This window comes from Homo sapiens, chromosome 3, assembly GCF_000001405.40.
Source record: "Homo sapiens chromosome 3, GRCh38.p14 Primary Assembly".
Lineage (NCBI taxonomy): Eukaryota > Metazoa > Chordata > Mammalia > Primates > Hominidae > Homo > Homo sapiens.
The window spans coordinates 29,745,365-29,766,572 of NC_000003.12; the positions used below are offsets into that span (position 1 = coordinate 29,745,365).

General features: G+C 37.1%; 1 protein-coding gene across 15 annotated transcripts in view; it reads left to right on the forward strand.

Moving 5' to 3' along the window:
* RBMS3 (RNA binding motif single stranded interacting protein 3) overlaps positions 1-21,208 on the forward strand; it is a 729,325-nt gene that overhangs the window by 464,294 nt on the left and 243,823 nt on the right. For all 15 annotated transcript variants that reach the window (XM_005265061.3, XM_017006180.2, XM_017006179.2 and 12 more), the window contains one exon: positions 17,546-17,625. In XM_005265061.3, coding sequence (XP_005265118.1) covers positions 17,546-17,625 — 80 coding nt within the window. The remainder of the gene's footprint in view (positions 1-17,545; positions 17,626-21,208) is intronic.

Genomic DNA, 21,208 nt, shown 5'->3' on the forward strand with positions numbered 1-21,208 from the left:
ACAGTCAGCCCCACTACTGCAGAGCTAGTGAATGCCAACAGAGTACCTTGCCTGCGAGGGTAAGGATCAGAGCGTAAATCATCCAGAGTCTGGAGGGCCATGACTGTGTGTTCATGTTATCCATTTCCCATTTCCAGAAACATGAGACTGATTGTCCAGCAAAAATCACATTGAGAGGGTGTTATGAGAGGCCAGTAAAGAATGACCCAAAGTGGGGAAGTGATGGGTGGGGGACAGGGGGAGCAGGGGGAGCATTCACAATTAATCCAGCTTCAACATCTGGGAACATAGAACCTCTTTAAGCAATGCATTTACTATCCCCTGGTGAGCTAAAGAGCGTGAGAGACCACTGAACAGAGAGACCTTTGTGTTTTGTAGTATTTTTTGCCCTTCCTCAATACTCTTAATCTGATTCTCATGGAGCTTTGTTTGAATGACTTCTAACATATGGGCAGCCCTGTGTTCTACCTCTCCCTACTGAATGTGCAAGTTTTCTAAATAAATAATTTAAGTTTTTCTTTCTTTTCATTAAGTAAAAAAAAAAAGATGGGTATAGGCATACAAATACTAGCCTGCTTACTAAATATCAATCAGTATAAATAGCAGGTCTTTTTTGTGTTTTCTACTAATAACTTTGAATATTATTAAAATGTTATTTATTTACCTTCTACTGCCTGATACTTCTTGTTCTCTTCTTCCATCTGCTGAAATATAATGAGACCACAGAAACAGAATAATCATATGAAAATACAGGAATTTTAAAAAATATGTTAAATAACAATACTTTATTTGAAGGCAAATATATGACTCTTTAAAATGCCCATCAAGTCTATCAAATTTTTTTAAATTGTTTGGAATTGTTTGGAGTATTGTTTTGACTGTATCTGTCTTGAATCCATCACTGCAGTAACAATTTCTCCCTCGCTATTTTGGCAATCCTTTTGCCGTTACTATTTTAAACACATGAAACCAGGAAATCAAAAGTGACTAAGGCAAATCTCTAAAGTGTAAACTTAGTGATTAGTAATCTCCAAACTACAGCTGTGTTTGTACAGAAACAGGTTACAACTGTGTTTTCTGAGATTGAAGAGAATAAAGGTTGTATGTTTCATTCTTTTTGGTAATTTTAATTCTTCTTCTAATTGCCATCAGATGTGGTCTGCTGGAGAGTATACTCCTGGACCCCCTGCAGCTTCTTCATCTTTGTTCTTCTTTTGTGTGTCTCATCTTGTTTCTTCTCCTTGCCTCTTTGTCTTTCTCTTACCATCAGAAAGTCAAAATCACAGCTGGAGAGTGATGAACATTCTATTTTCTTTTTCATATATTCAGAGCCCTGGGTTTCAAAACCCTAACTAACCAGTGAACCAACCAAACAAATAAATTGCATCAAATAACTTGTTATTCTGAAGTCTCCGAGACGGCAGTCTTGTTGTATATATGCCTTTATAAAAATCTAACAAAGGAGATACAATATATACTTTATTGCTTTATTATTATAAAATAAAAATGACCACATACGAAATAATGCCCTCTGTGAAATGCGGAGAGAGTTCTGAAAAATTATTTACCTATATAAAATGGAACTGGGGGAGCTTTGTTACCTCCAGATTAGAAATGGTGGCCATTCAGTATGCTCAGGGCTCATAACATGTCTTTGACCTGTACCTGCTGTAAACACAAAGCATGTCAAGGACTATTGGAGCATCCAGAAAAGTGGGGACATTGGAGGCAGCTAGTCTGCTTCTGGCCAATAGAAAAGTAAGAGGTGGAAATATAGCCCAATATCATTTGAGCCTCTTTTATTTAGTATATTTTCTACACTCTCAGCTTTCTGTGAATTGGGCCAATACATTTATTCTCTGTATCTCTATGGTTATAAACATGGTTCTACATGGGTCTGAAATAACTTAGCTTACATCTTAGTTCTGCACCTCTTACTTGTGTTCTTGGGGCAGTTATATAAACTCTCTGAGCCTCTTTTCCTGACATCTATCTATCTATCTATCTATCTAGGTAGGTAGGTAGGTAGATAGATAGATAGATAGATAGATAGATAGATAGATAGATAGATAGATAGATAGATAGATGTCAGGTCACTATTATCCAATACTGGCTTGGTCAATATTCCAGTAATTGTTATAGATGAAGTAATTCAGAGATGTACATACACCCACAAAAAAAATCTGCTTTTACAGACCAACATTCTACTGGATTGGGGATGATGCAGGATTTTTGCTCCTTAGTTCAACTAAATCTGGGTTCTTTTCTCATGACCAGGAAAAATTAGGCATGTGGATACACTGAAGTGTGAAAAGGGCAGAATTTATTAAGTGAAAGGAAAACTCTCAGCAAAGAAAGGGGTAGTATAGCCCTAGGTAGTATTGGAAAAGGCAACATTCGTTTGGTTAAAAGGCATTATTCAGAAAGAATCAATCAGGAAAGAGCGGGCAAACAGGGGCAGAAGTTGTCCCTCTGGGTCACAGGTTTCAGTTGGAACCAGCAGTCATGTCTTTCAGCCTTCAGGCTGTTTTAGGCTTGAAGGTGATGTTTCACCAGGGACCCTTCCCTATCTGCCTAGGTAATTTGTCTGCCTGCTGCCTCTATCAGGGAGATGACAATAAGTATGTAATAAACAAATAATCAAACATCAGATAATGAAAATATTACAAAAACACCCCAAACATAGGGGTGTAATAGAGAGTATGGGGCAATAGGAAGCAAGAGGTAAGAGAATGATGTTCTGTCTTCAGAGGGAACATTGAAACTAAAATACAAATCAGAAAGAACCAGCCAAGAAAATCTCTTAGTGGGAGTAGGGAGGCAAGAGAACAATCCTGGCAAAGAGAAAAGGAAGTAGAAAACCTAAGGTGGGGCCAAGTTTGGCATGTTTGGGAAATAGAAAGGAAACAAAATTGTGAAACATTGAGTAAGGGAAAGAGGTGTAATAGGTAATAATGTCAGCCTTAAATAATGAGATTCAGAAAATATGATTAAGTACAGAGTTTATTTGAGCTCAGAGCTTGAAGATGGCCACTCAGGAGTGTAGATTCAAGTTGCCCTGGATATACAGTCCAATTAGCAGTAGTTACAAGTGGGTCTTGAAAGGAAAAAAGAAGCAGTTTTTAAGTTTTTGCTAAGAATATACATTAAAGTAATGTATTGATTGGCTATTCATGGTTCTTTGTATCACAGATTCCAAGAACATGAAGATAATGGTAGAGGCAGCTAATTAGGAACAAAAATGCCTTTAAAAAACTACCCTGGGCATGGATGCTGTGAGGAGGGGCATGATCAAAAGTCTCCAACTCATGGCTCTCTGGGTTGGATAAATTTTGCATACCTCACATAGCTCAGCCTGATCTGAGTTTTCTCATTTCCCTCCATTTCATCAAGATGTTTTGAAGAAAGCATAGTAGATGAACTAAAAGCATTTTGACTCCTTAGTCCTATATCATAAGGAAGGTTCATTCCCAAATGGTTCTGTCCCACTCAGGTGGGCGTGTGGGGAAGGGGCAGGGGAGAGAATACATCTCAGTAAGAAATTTTAAGTGTGCCTAAAGCTGAATTGGAATGGTATCACAGGGTGGCAAAAATGAGACTTCAGCCAAATCTCAGTCAACTTATTTATATAGTTGCTGTCACTTATTGAATCATCCTGGTCTTTAGAATATTATGACTTTAATTTTCTCAGAAGCAGTAAAACAGTGAGAGATACATATTGCAAGTAAGGATTACCATTACAAAAAGAGAACATGTATTCCAAAATGAAAAAGGAAACCTGTTCCACTGGTGAGTACACTGAAAACATCCTGAAGAAAATTAAACCCTTGTCCTTTAGAGACTCATAGATAGGAAATAATTCTGGATTTAGTCTAAAATATAGGAAAATCATAAAAACTCAAAAACAGTAGTCAGTGCTGGAATCTAATAGCAGGTGTGCTATAGTTTTCTTCTGAAACATTATTTTTCTCTCTCCAGTTCCCCATGTAAACCAAGGATAATTCTTAGTCTGATCAATTTATTTGCAAAATAAGTTTTAGTAGTGCTCTTGGCCTGATTATTTGTATAAAGTGTAACAAGAATAATGAATGGCCATATAGGCTCCTTTAAGTTGGCTTTGCTAGAACTTTTTCATAAGGAATCTCAAATTAGATTTTTAAAAGCCTCTTGAGGCTAGGAAAACAAGCCAAGGATTTGCTGTCAGGTTGTGCCTGTAATACCTATATGAATTGGGTAAAGTCCTCTCTTCTTGAGGTCCCAAAATATCTTGAGGTTCCTGGACCTGTCAGAAAGTGATATTCTTTACTTATCATAAGGTCAGGAACCTTGTAAGAGAACCATGTAAAAATGTATCATGCCAGTCTTTTCCAGAGGCCTTTTATTGGGTTTCTAAAGTCAACTTCAATTCCTCAAAGCAATCTGGTCATATCTAAAAATATGCCATTCCAATAAAAGCTTTGGAAAAATTACCAGTGTTCAATGTGTCCTGATACCAAAAAACAAACACATTCTTATTGAACTTATGCAAATAACTATATTGCCATAAAACAAGAATACTCATTATTAGTTTCCATATTTTGAAGAAATCAGCTAAAGAGAAAAGTGAACATTTCAATTTTGCTTGCAAATGTATACTTTACCCCGTTGCTATAAGCTATGAATAGCTGAAAAGAAAATAAGACAAAATATAAAAGAGTCAGTAATGTTGCAAACAAAAAAGTCATAAAAATCATTTCAGTCCTCTATCAGTTCAGTAAATTGAAATAACTTTTGATTGACGTTGACTTAGCAATCTTCATTAATGTATCAGCTTTTTAATTAGAGTTCTGGCAGATTTTACTTCGTCCAAAAGTAAGATCTCTAAATTTATCAGAAATCTTTATTCAAGAATTCTTGTTGGGATTCTTTTCCACGAATTTTTTGAAGAATGGACTATAGCTGATTATAAATAACGTTTTGAGAAGACTTAAAGTAAAACGATAATTGTCTGTGGATGACAAAAAGAGTAGCCATGGTCAAAGATACAATTGACAAGAAATTTAATTATTTTTATGGCATAAAACAATGTAATATAATAATCATAATTATGTCTGATAGCATATATCAAGACATATCTGAATTTAAGAATCTCATATAATTTTGGAATACATGTTAATACATGTATACTAATATAACTCAAACCTATTTTTCTAACTTTTATTTTAAATTCAGGGGCACATGTGCAGGTTCGTTATATAGGTAAACTTGTGTCATGGGGGTTTGTTGTACAGATTACTTCATCACCCATATATTAAGCCTAGTACCCATTAGTTATTTTTCTGATCCTCTCCTTCCTCCCACCTTCCACCTTCTGAAGGGCCCCAGTGTGTGTTGTTCCCCTCTATTTGCCCATATAAACAGCATTTCTTATTTGACAATGCTTCCTATATGATTTTAACATACCAAATAAGTGTTATATGTCTCTCCTGGACTTCCAGGGGTTTCTCCTTTATGTCCAGGTTAGTACAAATTAAAAGATAATTTTAGAATTTGAAATTTAATTTTTGGAAATATGTAAAGTATTAAGGGTTTAAAACACTTGATATTGAAATTTAAAAATGTTTAAAACTCATGATCAAAATAGAATCTGAAGTCAATGCATAATAATAGTCATTTATTTTGTGAAAATGATAATTCAAAGGTTTCAGAAAGCAAAATTTTTTATTATTTGATAGGGAAGAGATTTAATACCCAATCAAGGGACCTAATAAAGACAACATGAGGGAAACTCTCCCTGCAGCTTAATTATTTTACAGTTTACTCAAAAAGTAAACAAATCTTTTACTATCTCTTATTAATACTACACAAAATTCTTGTTCTAAGGAGAAAACCAAGTTTTACTTTTAGTGTGTTATCAATACTAAAGCTAATTTTAATAAAACATTATGACCAAATCTGTCCAATCTCAATCAGCTTTGACCTCACAAAATAAGATTTCCATAAACCTTTTATAACCTTTTGTAATTTTCTATTAAAAATGATCAGTATTTTGAGAAAACCCTGTGGCAACATAGGGGCACAGACTGTGGCCTTACATCAGTGTGCTTTTGATATTAATGCTCAGTTTTTAGAAAAACATATAAATAATTTCTAATTTTAGACAACTTGAACACACACAAAATTTCTTTCCCAAGATTAATCTTCCACAAACCCTCTACAACGTGCTTAAAATGTTTTGCCACTACCTAAGCAAAAATTCTATGGATAAATACATAGGTATTTTCCTGATCAGAAGACAGCTATTTTCACTAAACCAACAATATTAAACTAGTCTTAAAGATTTACTCAAATCATGTGAACTAAAAGGCACTTGAGCTGGTTTTGAGACAGGATAGTTCCCTTGGTACCTTTGTGGGACTCACAAAGGGGCGGCTCGGTTAGGCAGCCCGCAGCACTCAAACCCCTTGTGGGAGGGTTAGCACGCAGGTGAGCTGGTGCAGGAGCCGGGGCAAGTGCCTTTGGGTGCCTGCAGGAACAAACACTGTACAGGCCCATGGCAGCGCCTAGGGGTTGCCTACGACCCCTGGAGCCCCAGAGGATGTGTGTTATGGTGTGGTCCTTTAGCTTTGTCATCCATGGATGGCTTAAGTGTTTAACAGCTCAATGGGGAGTTAGTGTGACAGCCTCTTCCCCCTCACCTCAGTTCTTGTCTGGCATCCAGGAGGAGTGAGGTCACACGAACAATTTGGAGGGTGGTGAATGCAGAGGATTTTATCGTGTGGTGGAAGTAGTTCTCAGCAGGAAGGGGAGCTGGAAGGGCAATATAGTGGGAAGATAATCTTCCCCTGGAGTTGGGCCATCTGTGGCAGAACTCTTCTATGAAATTCTGCTGTCAAGCCATCCCTCTGAAGTCAAGCTGCTTCTTTCTAATATCCAGCTGGTTCCTCTTTTCTCCTTCCCTGCCAGTGGAGCTTGGAGTTTTTATGGGTACAGGGTGGAGGGTGGGGCCGGCCAGGGTAGTTTTGGAAAAGGCAACATTTGGGTGGGAAAACAGGGATGTGAAGTTTTCATTTAGGGCATTGGTTTTGGGCTTGAGGGTGGAGCCCTCGCCGGGGAACCACCATCTTCTACCCAGTATTTCCCTGCCTCCTGTCTGTATGTAGTTTCTATTTTTCTGATAAAATATTTGATTTAACCACTTACATTTTCTTTAAGACAATTAATTGGAGGTTCTTCATATATGTTGCTAGTAAAATGTCACATACACATGCCACATTTAAACATATAGACATACAGGACACATAGAAGCAAATTTTGTATTAATAGCTTTATAAGGTTCTCCATTTGCCAGTTTGCAAATAGTTTCTTTCCTCTTTAGACTCTCAAGCCCTAAACAATTATTAGCTAGGCTATCCTAAATTTACAATCACAAAAACATGACTCTTAGGTGAAAATTTACCTCCCAAAGGCACAGAACTTAGATCTAAACACCTTTATTTACTGAGACAAAGAAGGGCATAGGTAAAGGCCCAGTCAAGATAAGATTACCAGCAAAAATATCTTAAACAAAAGTAAGGTTGGTTTTATAAACTTTAAGGCACTGTTTTTCCTGTCATAAAAGTTTCTAGTAGCTTAGGTGGAGCAAGGGAGATGCTCCTACAAATGGAGATTTCCGTTATATATGTATATTTATTTTACAAAGAGTTTCAAAATAGCCACCTAAATGCCAGAAAGTCATATTTTGGAGACCAATCTAGTCAGAAAGCTGGTATTTTCAACTTAGCTTATGTATTGATTAGATTACTAACCTCAGGGTTGAGCCCTTTAATGAATAGCAAAATGAAAGCATTTGCAGTTTTTGGGGACTAATGTTTACATATGTGAAAAACAGGCAGTGCACCTAGATATTTAAAATTGAACGATCCCACTTTTACATTGAATCCCGGGTCCCCCAGAAAAGAGAAATGCCACAAGACCGGGGTATGCAATGTTTCCACAATGCACCTCACTGCATACATTCCCTCAAGACTGGTAGGTGAGCAATGCCCATCAGCCCACTCTGTGATCAGACCACCCTCCCACAGGAGGAGTTTTATGCCTTGAGGGGAAGTGTTTCCTCCACCTTCAAGTGTTCAAACCTGTCTTTCTATCTAAACACCGGAAAAAATGAGTAGCCCCGTACATTTATAATCATTCACTGTAACTGATTTCAGCTGCTTCAGAAACCACAGTTTTTGCCAGTGACTTGTCAGCCATTGCACACACAAAATTCAAGTTGTATCTCATAGTACAGAGTAATCCCTGGTACCCTAAAAGCTAAAGAGGTCAGTTACTACTTCTAACAGCTCTTGCAAATCTTTATTATTAGACTCAGTTATGGAAGTACGATTGCCCATAATCATATTTCCTTTTTGAATGATAAAAAAGACCCAGTGAGAGGAATTTTGGTCACCCAAGAAGAATGTTTAGATTTGTCAATTGAACTGAGCTGTGAAATCTGACCAATTTTAAAGATTACAAATTTTTCACTTAAGCTGTAAGATTACACTTTTTCTTTTCAGAGAGAAACTATTTTTTCCCCGACCAAAATTTTAAATGAGATAAAAGATTGAAAAACTCTTTTTTTTTTTTTGAGACAGAGTCTCATTCTGTCACCCAGGCTACAGTGCAGTGGCACGATTTTGGCTGACTGCAACTTCTGCCTCCCAGGTTCAAGGGATCCTCTTGCCTCAGCCTCCCGAGTAGCTGAGATTACAGGCGCCCACCACCATGCCTAATTTTTGTATTTTAAATAGAGGCAGGGTTTCACCATGTTGGCCAGGCTGGTCCGAACTCCTGACCTCAAGTGATCCTCTTGCCTCAGCCTCCCAAAGTGCTGGGATCACAGGCGTGAGCCACCGTACATGGCTAAAAGATGGGAAAACTCTAAGAATTAATTCAAAATAACACTAGCTCAAAAAGAAAAAGTGAAAGTCACAAATCTGCAATCAGCAGAGACTCTAGAGAATAACAAATGGAACTCCTACCTTACAGTAGAGCTTCATTTCCAACCATGTTGTGGCAGGAATGTGTGCAGTTTCAAAAAGTGAATTGGTCTGAATGTTCAACCAAGAATGGAGCATTCAAATCTGAGGAGGGCTTACCCAGTTGACTGACCTCCGCTGACTCCAGTGAGGTCAGATGAATGAAAGTTATGCTCATATCAGGACTCCAGCTGTCAGCAAAGCAAGGGAGATCACTGAAAGTCTGTTTCAGGTCCCACCTGAGTCACCAAAATGTCAACCTTAAATAACATAAGTACAGAGATTATATGAGCTCAAAGCTTGAAGATGGCCACCCAGGAGCCTAGATTCATGTTGCCCTGAATATACAGTCCAATTAGCAATAGTTACAAGTGGGTCTTTAAAGGAAAAAAGAAGAGAAGTTGTTTATCAAGACTTTTCGTTAAGATAACATAAGCTATTAATTGGTTATTCATTGCTCTTTGTGTCACAAATGCTAGGAATATGAAGATAATGAGTGAGAAAGCTGGTCAGGAACAAAAATGCCTTAAACAATTGCCCCCAGTCATGGCTACTCAGGGGAGAGACAGCCATGACTGAAGCCCTGTACTTATGTCTCTCTGGGCCTGATAAATGTTGCATATCTCACATAGTTGACCTGCTCTGAGCTATTTTTCTTTTCTCAATAATATCTAGGAATGAAATATGGCTGTAGCTAGGAGATTGATTAAAAGTGGTAATGTATTCCAGAGTCATTAATGGTATGACTTTTCTACACCTATGCTTAATTTTCACTTTATCTCAGATTATTTATTTAAGTTTAATTTTCTGCCATTTCTTTATGAAAATTCCTTCTAGAAACATTGGTCTGGCTAAAAAAATATACTTAGATAATTATGCATCTATGTGAGTACATAGATGAGTGTCCCTACTGGGGATAATCAGGTAATCCAAGTGAAAGAAGTAGTTTCTAGATGGAGTATAAGGCAAACTTTATCTCTTACATGCTTCTTGAAACACACAGTCTTTGGGATAATTTTTTTACTCCTCTGCTGTTGATAGCTTTATGGTGTAGGCATCAAGATGCTGGCTGGAAGCAGAGTTTCACTCCAGATGATTCTACTGAAGAAAATTAAGGAGTATTTACCAAATATTTACAGAAGCAGTGTTAAGGGAACTGAGGTAAAGGCAAAGAGATGTTGATGTTCCCAGAGAGGAGCAACAGAGGGAAACGTTTACCACCCTGAGAGCTCAAGGAGCAACCACAAGGGTGTTTCCAGAGTTCATTGAGAGCCAGAGCCTCAGAGGAGGGCCTGCTTGGAAGGACTGTAGACAGGGAGAGATGCAACCCCTGCTAGACAGAAGTGCCAAAGCAGGGAGACAAAGAGGGAAAACCACTCAGATTTCTCTCTACTCTTGCCTTTTGAAGTTCTTTCTTTCAAGCTTCCATAGGCAGAACCCAATGGAAAACCAGTAAACAAAAGAACTAAGATTACACAGTCGATAGAAGGGTCACTTCCTTGGGGCATAGAGCAGGACAGAGAGGACATTTAGGAAAGGATGAGCAGAAATACACCACTCTCCCTGTATAAATTAAGTTAAATAATTTTTCTTTTCTCCTAACTATTAAAAATAAAGAATGCAAGTTCAGTGATAAACAGCACCTACTATTTTGCCTTAGGATTGGCAATTGATACAGCTTGGTAGGAATAATGGCAAAGTGGCTTCATTTAAAGAACAAAACTGCTCTTTTACTCTGTTCCATGGTTGCTGTGATGTCTTTTTTTCTGACACCAAATGTGTGGGTTTTTCTGACATCAAATACCTTATTTTTGCATATCGATTCTCTAATTCTCTGACATCAATTGGATGTCCTACAATTTAACTCAGTTTTGACACAAACTACCTGATCATCATGAGACTTCACAGGTGTAAGGGCTCAGTTCCACACCAGCTGCAAATGGAGTGCCCAGGTGTATTAGTCCATCCTCATACTTCTATGAAGAAATACCTGAGACTGAGTAATTTATAAAGAAAAAGAGGTTTCATGGACTCACAGATCCACATGGCTGGTGAGGCCTCACAATCATAGTGGAAGGCAAAGGGGGAGCAAAGGCTTGTCTTACATGGCAGTAGGCAAGAGAGTGTGTGCAGGGGAACTATCCTTTATAAAACCATCAGATCTCATCAGACTTACTCACTATCATGAGAACAGCACAGAAAAAAAACCCACCCCCATGATTCGATTACCTGCCACCAGGTCCCTCCCATGGCACATGAGAATTGTAGGAGCTACAATTCAAGATGAGATTTGGTTGGGGACACAGCAAAACCATATCACCAAGCTACCCACATTTCTTCCCAGCAACTACAAAATGTGGGAGTACCCACAACTCCCCAATTCAGGTTTAGTAACTCACTAAAATGACTCTCAAAGCACTTTATGTTTATCAGTTTATTATAAAGGATACAACTCAAATGAAAGAAATGCATATGGCCAAGCATCAGGGAAGGAGTGTGTAGCTTCTGTAGCCTCTCTGGGCTCACTACCCTCCTGGCATATATCAGTGTCTTCACCAAACTGAAAATTTCCTGAACCTTGTTGTTTAGGGATTTTTATATAGGTTTCATTAGGTAAAACCTCTGGGTTTGATTAATTAAATCATTAGCCCTTGGTGTTTGAGCTCAATCTCTGGCCCCTCTCCAGTTCTTGGAAGTCAGAGAGGGTGGGGATGAAAGTTCCAACCCACTAATCAAGTCTTAGTCTTTCTGGTGACCAGTCCCCATCCTGAAGCTACCTGAGTGACCTCATTAGCATAAACTCAGATGTGGTTAAAAATAGTCTGTTCTGAATAACAAAACATACCCCTATCACTCAGGAAATTCCAAGGGTTTTAGAAGCTGTGTGTCAGCAACCTGAGAAAAAGACTAAATATATTTTTTATTATGTCATAGTTGCCATGCAGAAAGCATGGGTTAAACTGTCCCATCTATTAAAAGGAATCACAGATTTCAATTTTCATGTGAAATCTCCCAAGTTTCAAATGTTGACAACCATTTCAAAATTTCCAAAATCTCTTTGCAGTCCAAATAAAACATACCTGTAGACTGGGTTTGGCCCATGGTTTCTAGTCTCTCATACCTGACACAGAACTTCGGAACAGGAGTTTTCAACCCTGGCTGCACACTGAAATCACCTGGGTAGCTTTGAAATCTTTGTGCCTGGGCCTCATGCCAAAACAATTAAGTCAGAATCTCCTGGGCTGGGCCCCAGAGATTGGTATTTTTAAAAGTAGTTTTCTGATAATTTTAATGTACAGTGATTTTAAAAGCTTCTTATTTTGCAATAAGTTTACCTTCACATAGAAGCCATAATGATAATATAGATTTTCTATATATTGCACACCCAGTTTCCCCCATTAACAACACCTTAAATTACCATGGCACATTTGTCAAAATTAAGAAACTGACATTGGTATATTACTATTAACTAAACTCCAGACTCTATTTGGATTTTGCCAACTTTTTTATTAACATTTTCTTTCTGTTCCAGGATCCAATCCAGTTACTATATTGTGTTTAGCTGTCCTGTCTCATCAGCCTGCTCTGATCTGCGATAATTTCTTAGACTTTGTTTGTTGGAGTAGTACTGGCCAGGTATTCTGAATGTCTCTAGATCTGAGTTTGTCAGCTGTTTTTCTCATGATAAGACCCCTAGTTTTCATGGGTTTTGGGAGAGAATACCACAGAGGTGAAACACCCTTGACATCTCATATCAGGTTATATTCCATTTTTGAAAACAACTTCTTGAAGTAATAGTGGCTGGGTAGAGTGGAGCTAGCAGGACCCATCCTACTCTTGAACAGATTGAAGTACATCAGTCAGTAGAGAAAATCAGGAGGGATGACATGAGGCCAGCAATGGAGCTGCATCTCTTGCAAATAAATAGTCTCAATTCAAAGTCATGAGACAACAGTTCTATTCCAGGCTCATCCACTAACTAGTTTTTAGGGAAGCCAATCACAGTCTTCTAGTGTTACTTTCTTCATCTGTACAATATAGAAGTTGATATCTGAGTCTTGAAATTATGTGACTCTCAAACTCTGGAATGTGTTTTCATTAGTCAAATATTGTCATCCACAGTTTCATTTCCTAAGAGGAATGTGTTGTAATGCTGAGCAAGATACCCTCAAAATTTCTGGTTTCTACAAAAGGGCATGTAAGGGAGGCCTCTCTGCTTCACTGTTTGGTACTTAAGACACTTGTATCCTAAGAATGTCAGGTGCCTGGCAGGAAGAAAACAAATTGCAAAAACTGAGAAGAAAATTCATCGCATTCATTCATCTTTGTTTCTGGAACTCACTATTTTATTCCTTCCGTTACAATGGATTAAGAAGGAAATGACATAATTTGTTTTTGAAATGTCAGAAGCAGTGCAGAGTTTAGTACTTTAAAAAATAGTTTAATGTTGACCCTGTGCATACGTAAATCTTACCAGAAATGAGGATGACTGGCTTACAACGTTAGATACTCTAAGTTGCCAATAATTTGTACAGAGCCTGTGATTGCAAAACCACAAACATTTCACAATACTGGAAACCTCTAATTAACCATAATAAATGACAGGATGGGTTTGTTTTAAATACATGGTTAATAATGCTTACTGCTTTAAGACCATAAACTGTGTGATTCTCTATGGAGGTGACAGAGGTAGGCTGCAAATGGTTTTGCAAAGTACGTTTCTACCTCTGCATGTTAAGTCTGACCCAGAACATTCTACTAATATTGGATCAGCCTCTCATCTGACGTAATTTGCCTGTGGGAATTGTATCGGCTGTTAAACTAGCTCCTCTTAGTAGCTGTTTGAAAAAAAAAAGGAAGAAGAAGCACAATTCTGTGGTGTGTTTCAAATAACTGAAGCCAGTGTCCTAGGTACTGAGACAAGAAAGAATGTCAAACAGGACCTTTAATGTGTATTTATATTTAAACATCAGACCTAACAGAAAACCCTGAAGCTTTATACAATGATTAGAGCCTTGTAAGATCCTAATTAATGTATTGTCAGGTGAATGGTTGGCCTGGCACTCAAGCTGTTCTGAGGGACGCAAGGGGTTTCAGGTACCGCCTAGGAAGAATAGATGCAGTTGTAGTGATTCAGTGGCCCATCTGAAAGGGACATATAAAGGCAGCTGTGTCTGGTGTGCTGTCTTTTCAGACTCACTTGATAATGCTAGTGTCAGTTTCAACTGAAGCGTGTGCCAGATTCCAGACAGCTTGAGCTGGCATTTCAGAGAGGTTAATTGTGAAACTTGAGAAGAAAATGGGCACATTCTTCCTAAGATGGCTATTCAAATATAGTCTCTTTCCTCCCCCCCCAGAGCTTTCTGGGTCTCAGTCTCACTTTTGTTCTGCTTCCACGTAAAATGCATGAGGAACACTGAGCCTTTTCCCCTTGGCAGCTCCTATATTGCCATCTTTGCTGGGACTGCTTTGCCTTGTTAAAATGTGCCCCGTGTATTAAAATGGAATTGTCACTGCTGGGTGGTGCAGCGTAACATGGTTTGACACTAAGCGCCGGCAGCTACAGAAAACAGACTTTTATTGCATTTATTCTTTCAGAGACGGGAGTCTCTAAAGGCTCACAGCAGACATTCACTTAGTTAAATCTGAATGAACCCAAAGTGAACAATCTACTCTGCTGTCTTTGTGTTCATAGAAACAGCCCCCATCCAGCTTGATATGGCTGTAAAACAGTGTTAAGAAAAGATGATCACACTTAGAATGCAGAAGGGAGGACTTGAGGCTTTCAAACAGAACAAAAATATTTTAAGTGGGTGGAGTGGGTTAGCCACTTGATTTTCTTTTTTAGCTTCCTCTCTATTCCCTAAAATGTATTATGTAGAATAAACACACACACACACACATACACACACACACCCCTACACACACACACACACCCCTAGTATTAGTCTTCATTTATAATTCCATGCCATTTTAAGACAAAGGATTTGATTTGTAGGACTCTTGCAAGCAAGCTTTAGATTCTTAACTGCCTTTTATCCAGATGAGTACCCAGAGAGAGATTGAACAGGGAGGGGGCTCTGAGGCATAAACTTTGCATTTTGTAGCTCTCCTGGAATAAAAATTCCATAAAGTAACATCTGTAGTAATTAAGGGCTTACATTTCCTCTCCCATTCATGTCTCTGCTAGGAGAGAAGGTTATTTTCCCAAAGAGACAATAGTGGATCCTGTGGGAAGAGAGAAAGAACAGAGTTAGAATTCTTTTCTTCCTGGAAATGGAAATTTTCTACTTAAAAAAAAAAAAAGATAAAAAAATTGAAAGACTTACAGTAAAAGGTTCCACTGGAAAGGAAACTTGAAAGAGTTAGGAAAATTGTACTTAGCTGTTCCTAAATATTTAGAATGAGGAAAGATTCCGCTTGCCTTTCTTATCCAAACATCTTCTGATATAGGGGAACTTGTGAGTGAGTAGTAAACAAAATGCTGTTTTTGTTTTTATTTTTATCTATTAAAATTGCATAAAGAGTTTTCTTTTTATTTGGACATCAAATTGATTCATTCTGAAGACTTTTTTTTTCAAAATAATACTTATGTGGATCCATTGGGTCACCTGATGATATACATACTGAGCGTTAATGTTAAGTTAGTTTCCTACACTCTCTTGTCATAGCAGGATCAGCTACTTAAATTAGGGTGAAATATGACAATGTAGATCCCTTTGTTAAAACACTGTTAAGAAGTTCAAGGTGGCAACAGCAGAACTTTAAACCAAGTGCAGGGTTGTTCTAAGTGTGGGGCTGTGTGTGAAGACATAGGCCTCATTCCTGTAAATTTAGCCCTGCTTGGCGGTAGAGATTTGTCATATCCATCGATACAGAAAGATGCACTCTCATCACATGCTTCATAAGAATGTACATCTGAAAACAAAACTTTGTCAGAGAATAATTATAGCTCAAAACTGGAACTCGTTCCTGATATTATCTTCAAACTTGTTAAACAAGTGATACAGATGCCCTGACTTCCTCTCTCAGTTAATTTTTAAGAATTTCCCGGGCAAACCTTCCACTGAGCCACATGCTTGCTCTCTCTACCACATTGTAATAAGGACGCACGCCCTCCAAGCTGCCCAGCTCAGCCCCCTGCCCTAATTACTTCGCCAAAAGCCTCTCCTAGATTCCGTGCCTCTTCTCAGCATTTCTCTCACTTCTGGGATTCCTCTCACATTTGAATTCTTATAGCTGTAATAAATATGTATAACTTACTTGACATTTGTTAGCATATTTTTTTTGTATCTTGTTTCCTTTGCCATGTAATATGGTCCTATAATATGGCCATGTAATATGGTCCTGAAATGGACATAAAATTTAGATGTAGGAAAGTTTTACAACTTGAGTTGATGGGCACCATTCCAAGAAAGCTCATATTAATAACAGCAGAAAATCCAAAATTAAACTTTGCCTTTTGAACACATTTTACACATTTCACACATTTCATACACATTCTTTCATGTGTGTGTATGCTGTTTCTTAAATGTATTTTTGCCTCTAGTATACTCTTTGGAAGACTTAATTTTCTTTTATCAGAATTAATCCTTAATTATTATCCTCCCCATCCAATTTTATAAAATAAAAAAGGCCAGATATTATCCATTATTTGGAAACTGCTACAAATATTACTGTACTTAAGATATGGTAACATTGCCAAAATTTAAATTATGTTGGTATGGCTCAAAATGTTCATGCTTTAGGTTGTATGTGAGATGCCAAAATTTGGCACAAGAATACCAGTTTAGGAATATTGATAAGATAGTATGAAAAAATAGGATATTGTCCAAAATTCAATATTGAGAAAGCATAGAACCTAAGGTTTGTGTATCTATACCTTCCTTCAACATGTAGGACCCCACCTAACTCTTTGGATGTCTTACATAAAGTGGATTTTCAATAAAAATGTCATAATGCTGACGACTACATTACTATACCAATCAGTCCTTTAGGCTGCAAGCCATGCAAATAAAACACATCTTGTCAACCTCTTTTGTGAAATCCATCAGCAGTATAGCTTAGTAGCTATAGCACAGGCTTTACTGTTGCACAGATGTCAGTTCAAATACTGACTTTTCCTCTTATTGGAAAGGTAGTTTATCTGTTTAAGCCTCAGTGACCTTATTGATATGAATGACAATAAAAAGACTTACCCATCAGGTTTGCTAATTCATCATTCAACAGACATTTGTTGAACACTTTCAATTGCCAAATATTGCTGGGTGAATTAAGATAATGCCGCAGGGTTACCTCTGAACGAGTGCTCAGAATAGAGCCCTCCACATAGACACCTTTCAAAGAGTGAATAATACTTTCTAAGCATTAATGAGTTTGTGATGTTCTCTTATCAATCTGGTCATCATGTTCATGAAAAAAGTTGGCAATTAGGGTACAATTCTCAAATCAAGTATTTCTATGGCTTTCTTGTTTTCCTTTACTTCTTAAGTTTCTTTTTCTTGACAACCATATATGACCTCTGGTTTACCTTTTTTTCCCAGAATGGAGTCTACTGAAAAATGTGAAGTGGTAATTCAACATTTTAATGGAAAATATCTGAAAACACCACCAGGCATCCCAGGTAAGAAATTCACTAATAAGTGACTGAATGATGCCGAGGCTTAAATTGCTCTTATTAGAATAAGTACATTGTAAAGCCCTTGTTGATCACTGCAGAGTTGGGGGGTTTGCTTTTCTTAATGTGTATTTTCAAATAATACTGTGTAGCAACTCATCTTTCTCAAAAGCTTTTTGGTAATTCTTCTTTTGCTTTTTGAATCTCTGCTGCTAACTTTCTAAAGTGGATTAGAAGAAAACCATAGCAAAGAATAGTTAAAGAATGATGTGCTGGAAGTGATAGAATTTTATGACTCAGCATTAATATTAAAATTCCAATTTCCAAGTTACAAAATATCCAAACAATGATATTCACAATGAATCCCACAAATTGATGCCAGCCCTGAAACATTTCTTACCAGTCCATGACAAGAAAAGCACAGAAACTGAGAGAAAGCATTTAGAAACTAGTATAGCGATTTGACAATGTCATGAAATCTCAGTGCATAATTTTCTTTTACAAAAATATCAGTTACTGACAAATTGGAAATTTTAGAAAATACTGTCTATTTATCAGAGCTAGTTTGAGAAGCCCCAATCTGGACTATCCCAGGGCATTTCACACTTCCCAAGGCAAAATTCCTAAGGTTTTATACACATTATAAAGTGTTCTAATTTTATGCTATTAAGAATTGCATTAAACATGAAATAATTGGATTTATTATGTGTATCAGAGCTACAAATGCCAGAACTTGAGGCAGTAGTGTATGTGGAAGGTTTTAATATTAACTAAGTAAAGTTTTAAATATAATTCCAATATAAAAAATTAACAATGGAATGAAGTATTAAACTAAGAAAAATTACGTAAAGATTCATCTGAATAAGGCAGTTTGGTTTATTTGTTGGTCTTTTATATACAGTTATTCTCAGAGGAGACTAAGGCGACTTCTTCCATCTTACAATATGTGACTTTAATCTTTTTAAGCTTGATTTCAATACCGTTTGCTGTATAATGCATCTACTATTTAAAACCCATCAGAGAGTTCAGAGGTTGAGCATTTTAGTTCCTTAAAATATATTGAGTTTATAGATAAGAGGAAGCATATACAAAAAGAGAAATATTTTTGTGGAGGGTTTTGTAATGACTTGCTTTTTTTAAGGGGGGATGTCAAGAATGCAGAAAGACCCTTCAGACAGACACTTGCATAATCTGAAAACCTAAAGTAGCTGATTGCTGGCTAATCAGTGAGTCAACATACAGTGAAGACTGTGCCTTGATTTGGTTAGCTTCCATGTGTAACGTTCCCTTGGGAACTGACTGCATTATGATCCAATTGGAGACATATGGTGTTGTTAAGAAAAGAGTTAGCAGTTTTCATCTCAGCATGTTAGCTGCCCTTGCATTTTAGCAGAAATACTTTTTTTTTTTTTGTATAAACAGACATTTTAAGACACTTTACTCAAATCCGTCATCGAGTAAAGGAGTTGCATTGTTTGTGGACTTTCCTCTTGTTTGTCCTATTTCATCCAACGGATACCTATTTATATAGAAGTTGTTCAAACTAGGTGTAAATTATATAATTATATAAAAATAAAAATGAGCACACTGTGTAGAAATTATGAATGATTCAAGTTTTAGCACAAGTCTCAATTTTTTGATTTGTTCAAAATATTGGTATGTCAAAAAGACGTATTGAAAGCCTTCTTGCCCTGATTGATTTGAAAGTATTTTATTTGGTTTTCCCCAATGAACATATTGCTGACTAATACAATTTAATGCTGAAGACAAAGAAAGTCACTACAAATCCCCAAATGTCTGGGCATCCTTCCAGAATATGCAGGCTATGATATTAACCTATCTAATATCATAGCTACACCCAATGGAAACATTGTGAATAGCAGGAACTTGGTTATGAGTTTTCTCACTCATTTTTATCTCCCGGGAACAAGAAAGACAAAATAATTATGTTCAGTTATAAAACTCTTAGGAGAGACAACTGTATGCTTCTGAGATTTCCACTCATCATAATAGAACTAAATACAGAATATTGATCATCATCAGTGCTTGAATCTGCTTATTTATAAATTACTTTGAAAGTTAGAGTTGAATAAAGGCTTCAAATGCTAAGTAAAGACATTTAATCTTTGATACTTAAATTAGGTGTGGAAGAAAAGAGGATATAATACAAGATATGGGTATTTTGCAAGGTAAAGTAGTAATTTGCCCTTGTTGAGTATAATTACTAAGTCATAACAGGTATAATTACAATTTGGGTATATGCTGTCTGCCTTTATTGGTCCTCATTACTTATTACCTGGAAATAGCTGAAATCTTACTTTCAGAAATGTATGTCTTAACCAATATTTGATTCCATATTTAAGACAGGGAGTAGGATATCACTATGAGCTATGGCATCAGATATTTATACTTTTTTTAAGTGGCCAATTTCCGAATCTTTTTCATTACTTTAGAGAGTGTGTCTTTGCTTGTGAATATGCTCAACTATAATTGGTGTGACCCACTGAAAACTAAAATACAATTTTTAAAATTTGAAAAATCTCAGTGTTCTGCCTTATCAAGATTTGACATATTTGAATTCAGAAGTTTGTGGTTTTATAGAACTGCACATTGATTGTTTAAATACATTGCTTTAAGGTCATGTAGATGAGGGACTCACAGGGATCCAATAATGATGACCTGAGATCCTCGGGTCTTAAGAAAGCTGTGGAAAGATTGAATATGATGTCAATCATCTTCTTCTCATACTAGGGCCCTATTGTATTAGTTTGTTTTCATGCTGCTGATAAAGACACATCCAAGACTGGGCAATTTACGAAAGAAAGAGATTTATTGGACTTACAGTTCCACGTGGCTGAGGAGGCCTCACAATCATGGTGGAAGGTGAAAGGCATGTCTCATATGACGGCAGACAAGAGAAGAGAGCTTGTGCAGGCAAACTTCCCATTTTAAAATGATCAGATCTCATGAGACTTATTCACAATCACAAGAACAGCACCGGAAAGACCTGCACCCATGATTCAATTATCTCCCACTGGGTCCCTCCCACAACACATGGGAATTCAAGATGAGATTTGGGTGGGGACACAGCCAAACTATGTTGCCTACATTTAATATAACTCTAAGCAAGTACTGAGCAATTGGTGCCATATTCATACGGTCTACGTCTCTGTTTAGGCACAGTGTGGGGAAAATGTGCCTGTGTTATTGGGCAAATATAATGGCATTTGGTTTCTGTCACTGTTGACAATGACAATTATTCTTAAAGGAGATGCAAAGCTAATTATTTTCCTGAGATGATCATCTAGTTTCCAAGTCCCCTACTATGTCATTTCTAAAAAAGAACAAGGAAAAAATCTATTTCAACCTAAAATGTTGACATTGCTCTGAATTTCAAATTCTAAAAATTTCATAGTTAAGGAAATTTGCAAGGACATGTAACACTGACCACATTTATGTTGCTGCCCCATTTCGATTTGAGCCATTGTTGGAATAATTTGCTAATTAAATATGATTCATGTTGGTATTGGGTTCTAATTCCTGACAGATAAGTGAGTTGGAAGAGAACTTTACAGATATCTTTTTGGAA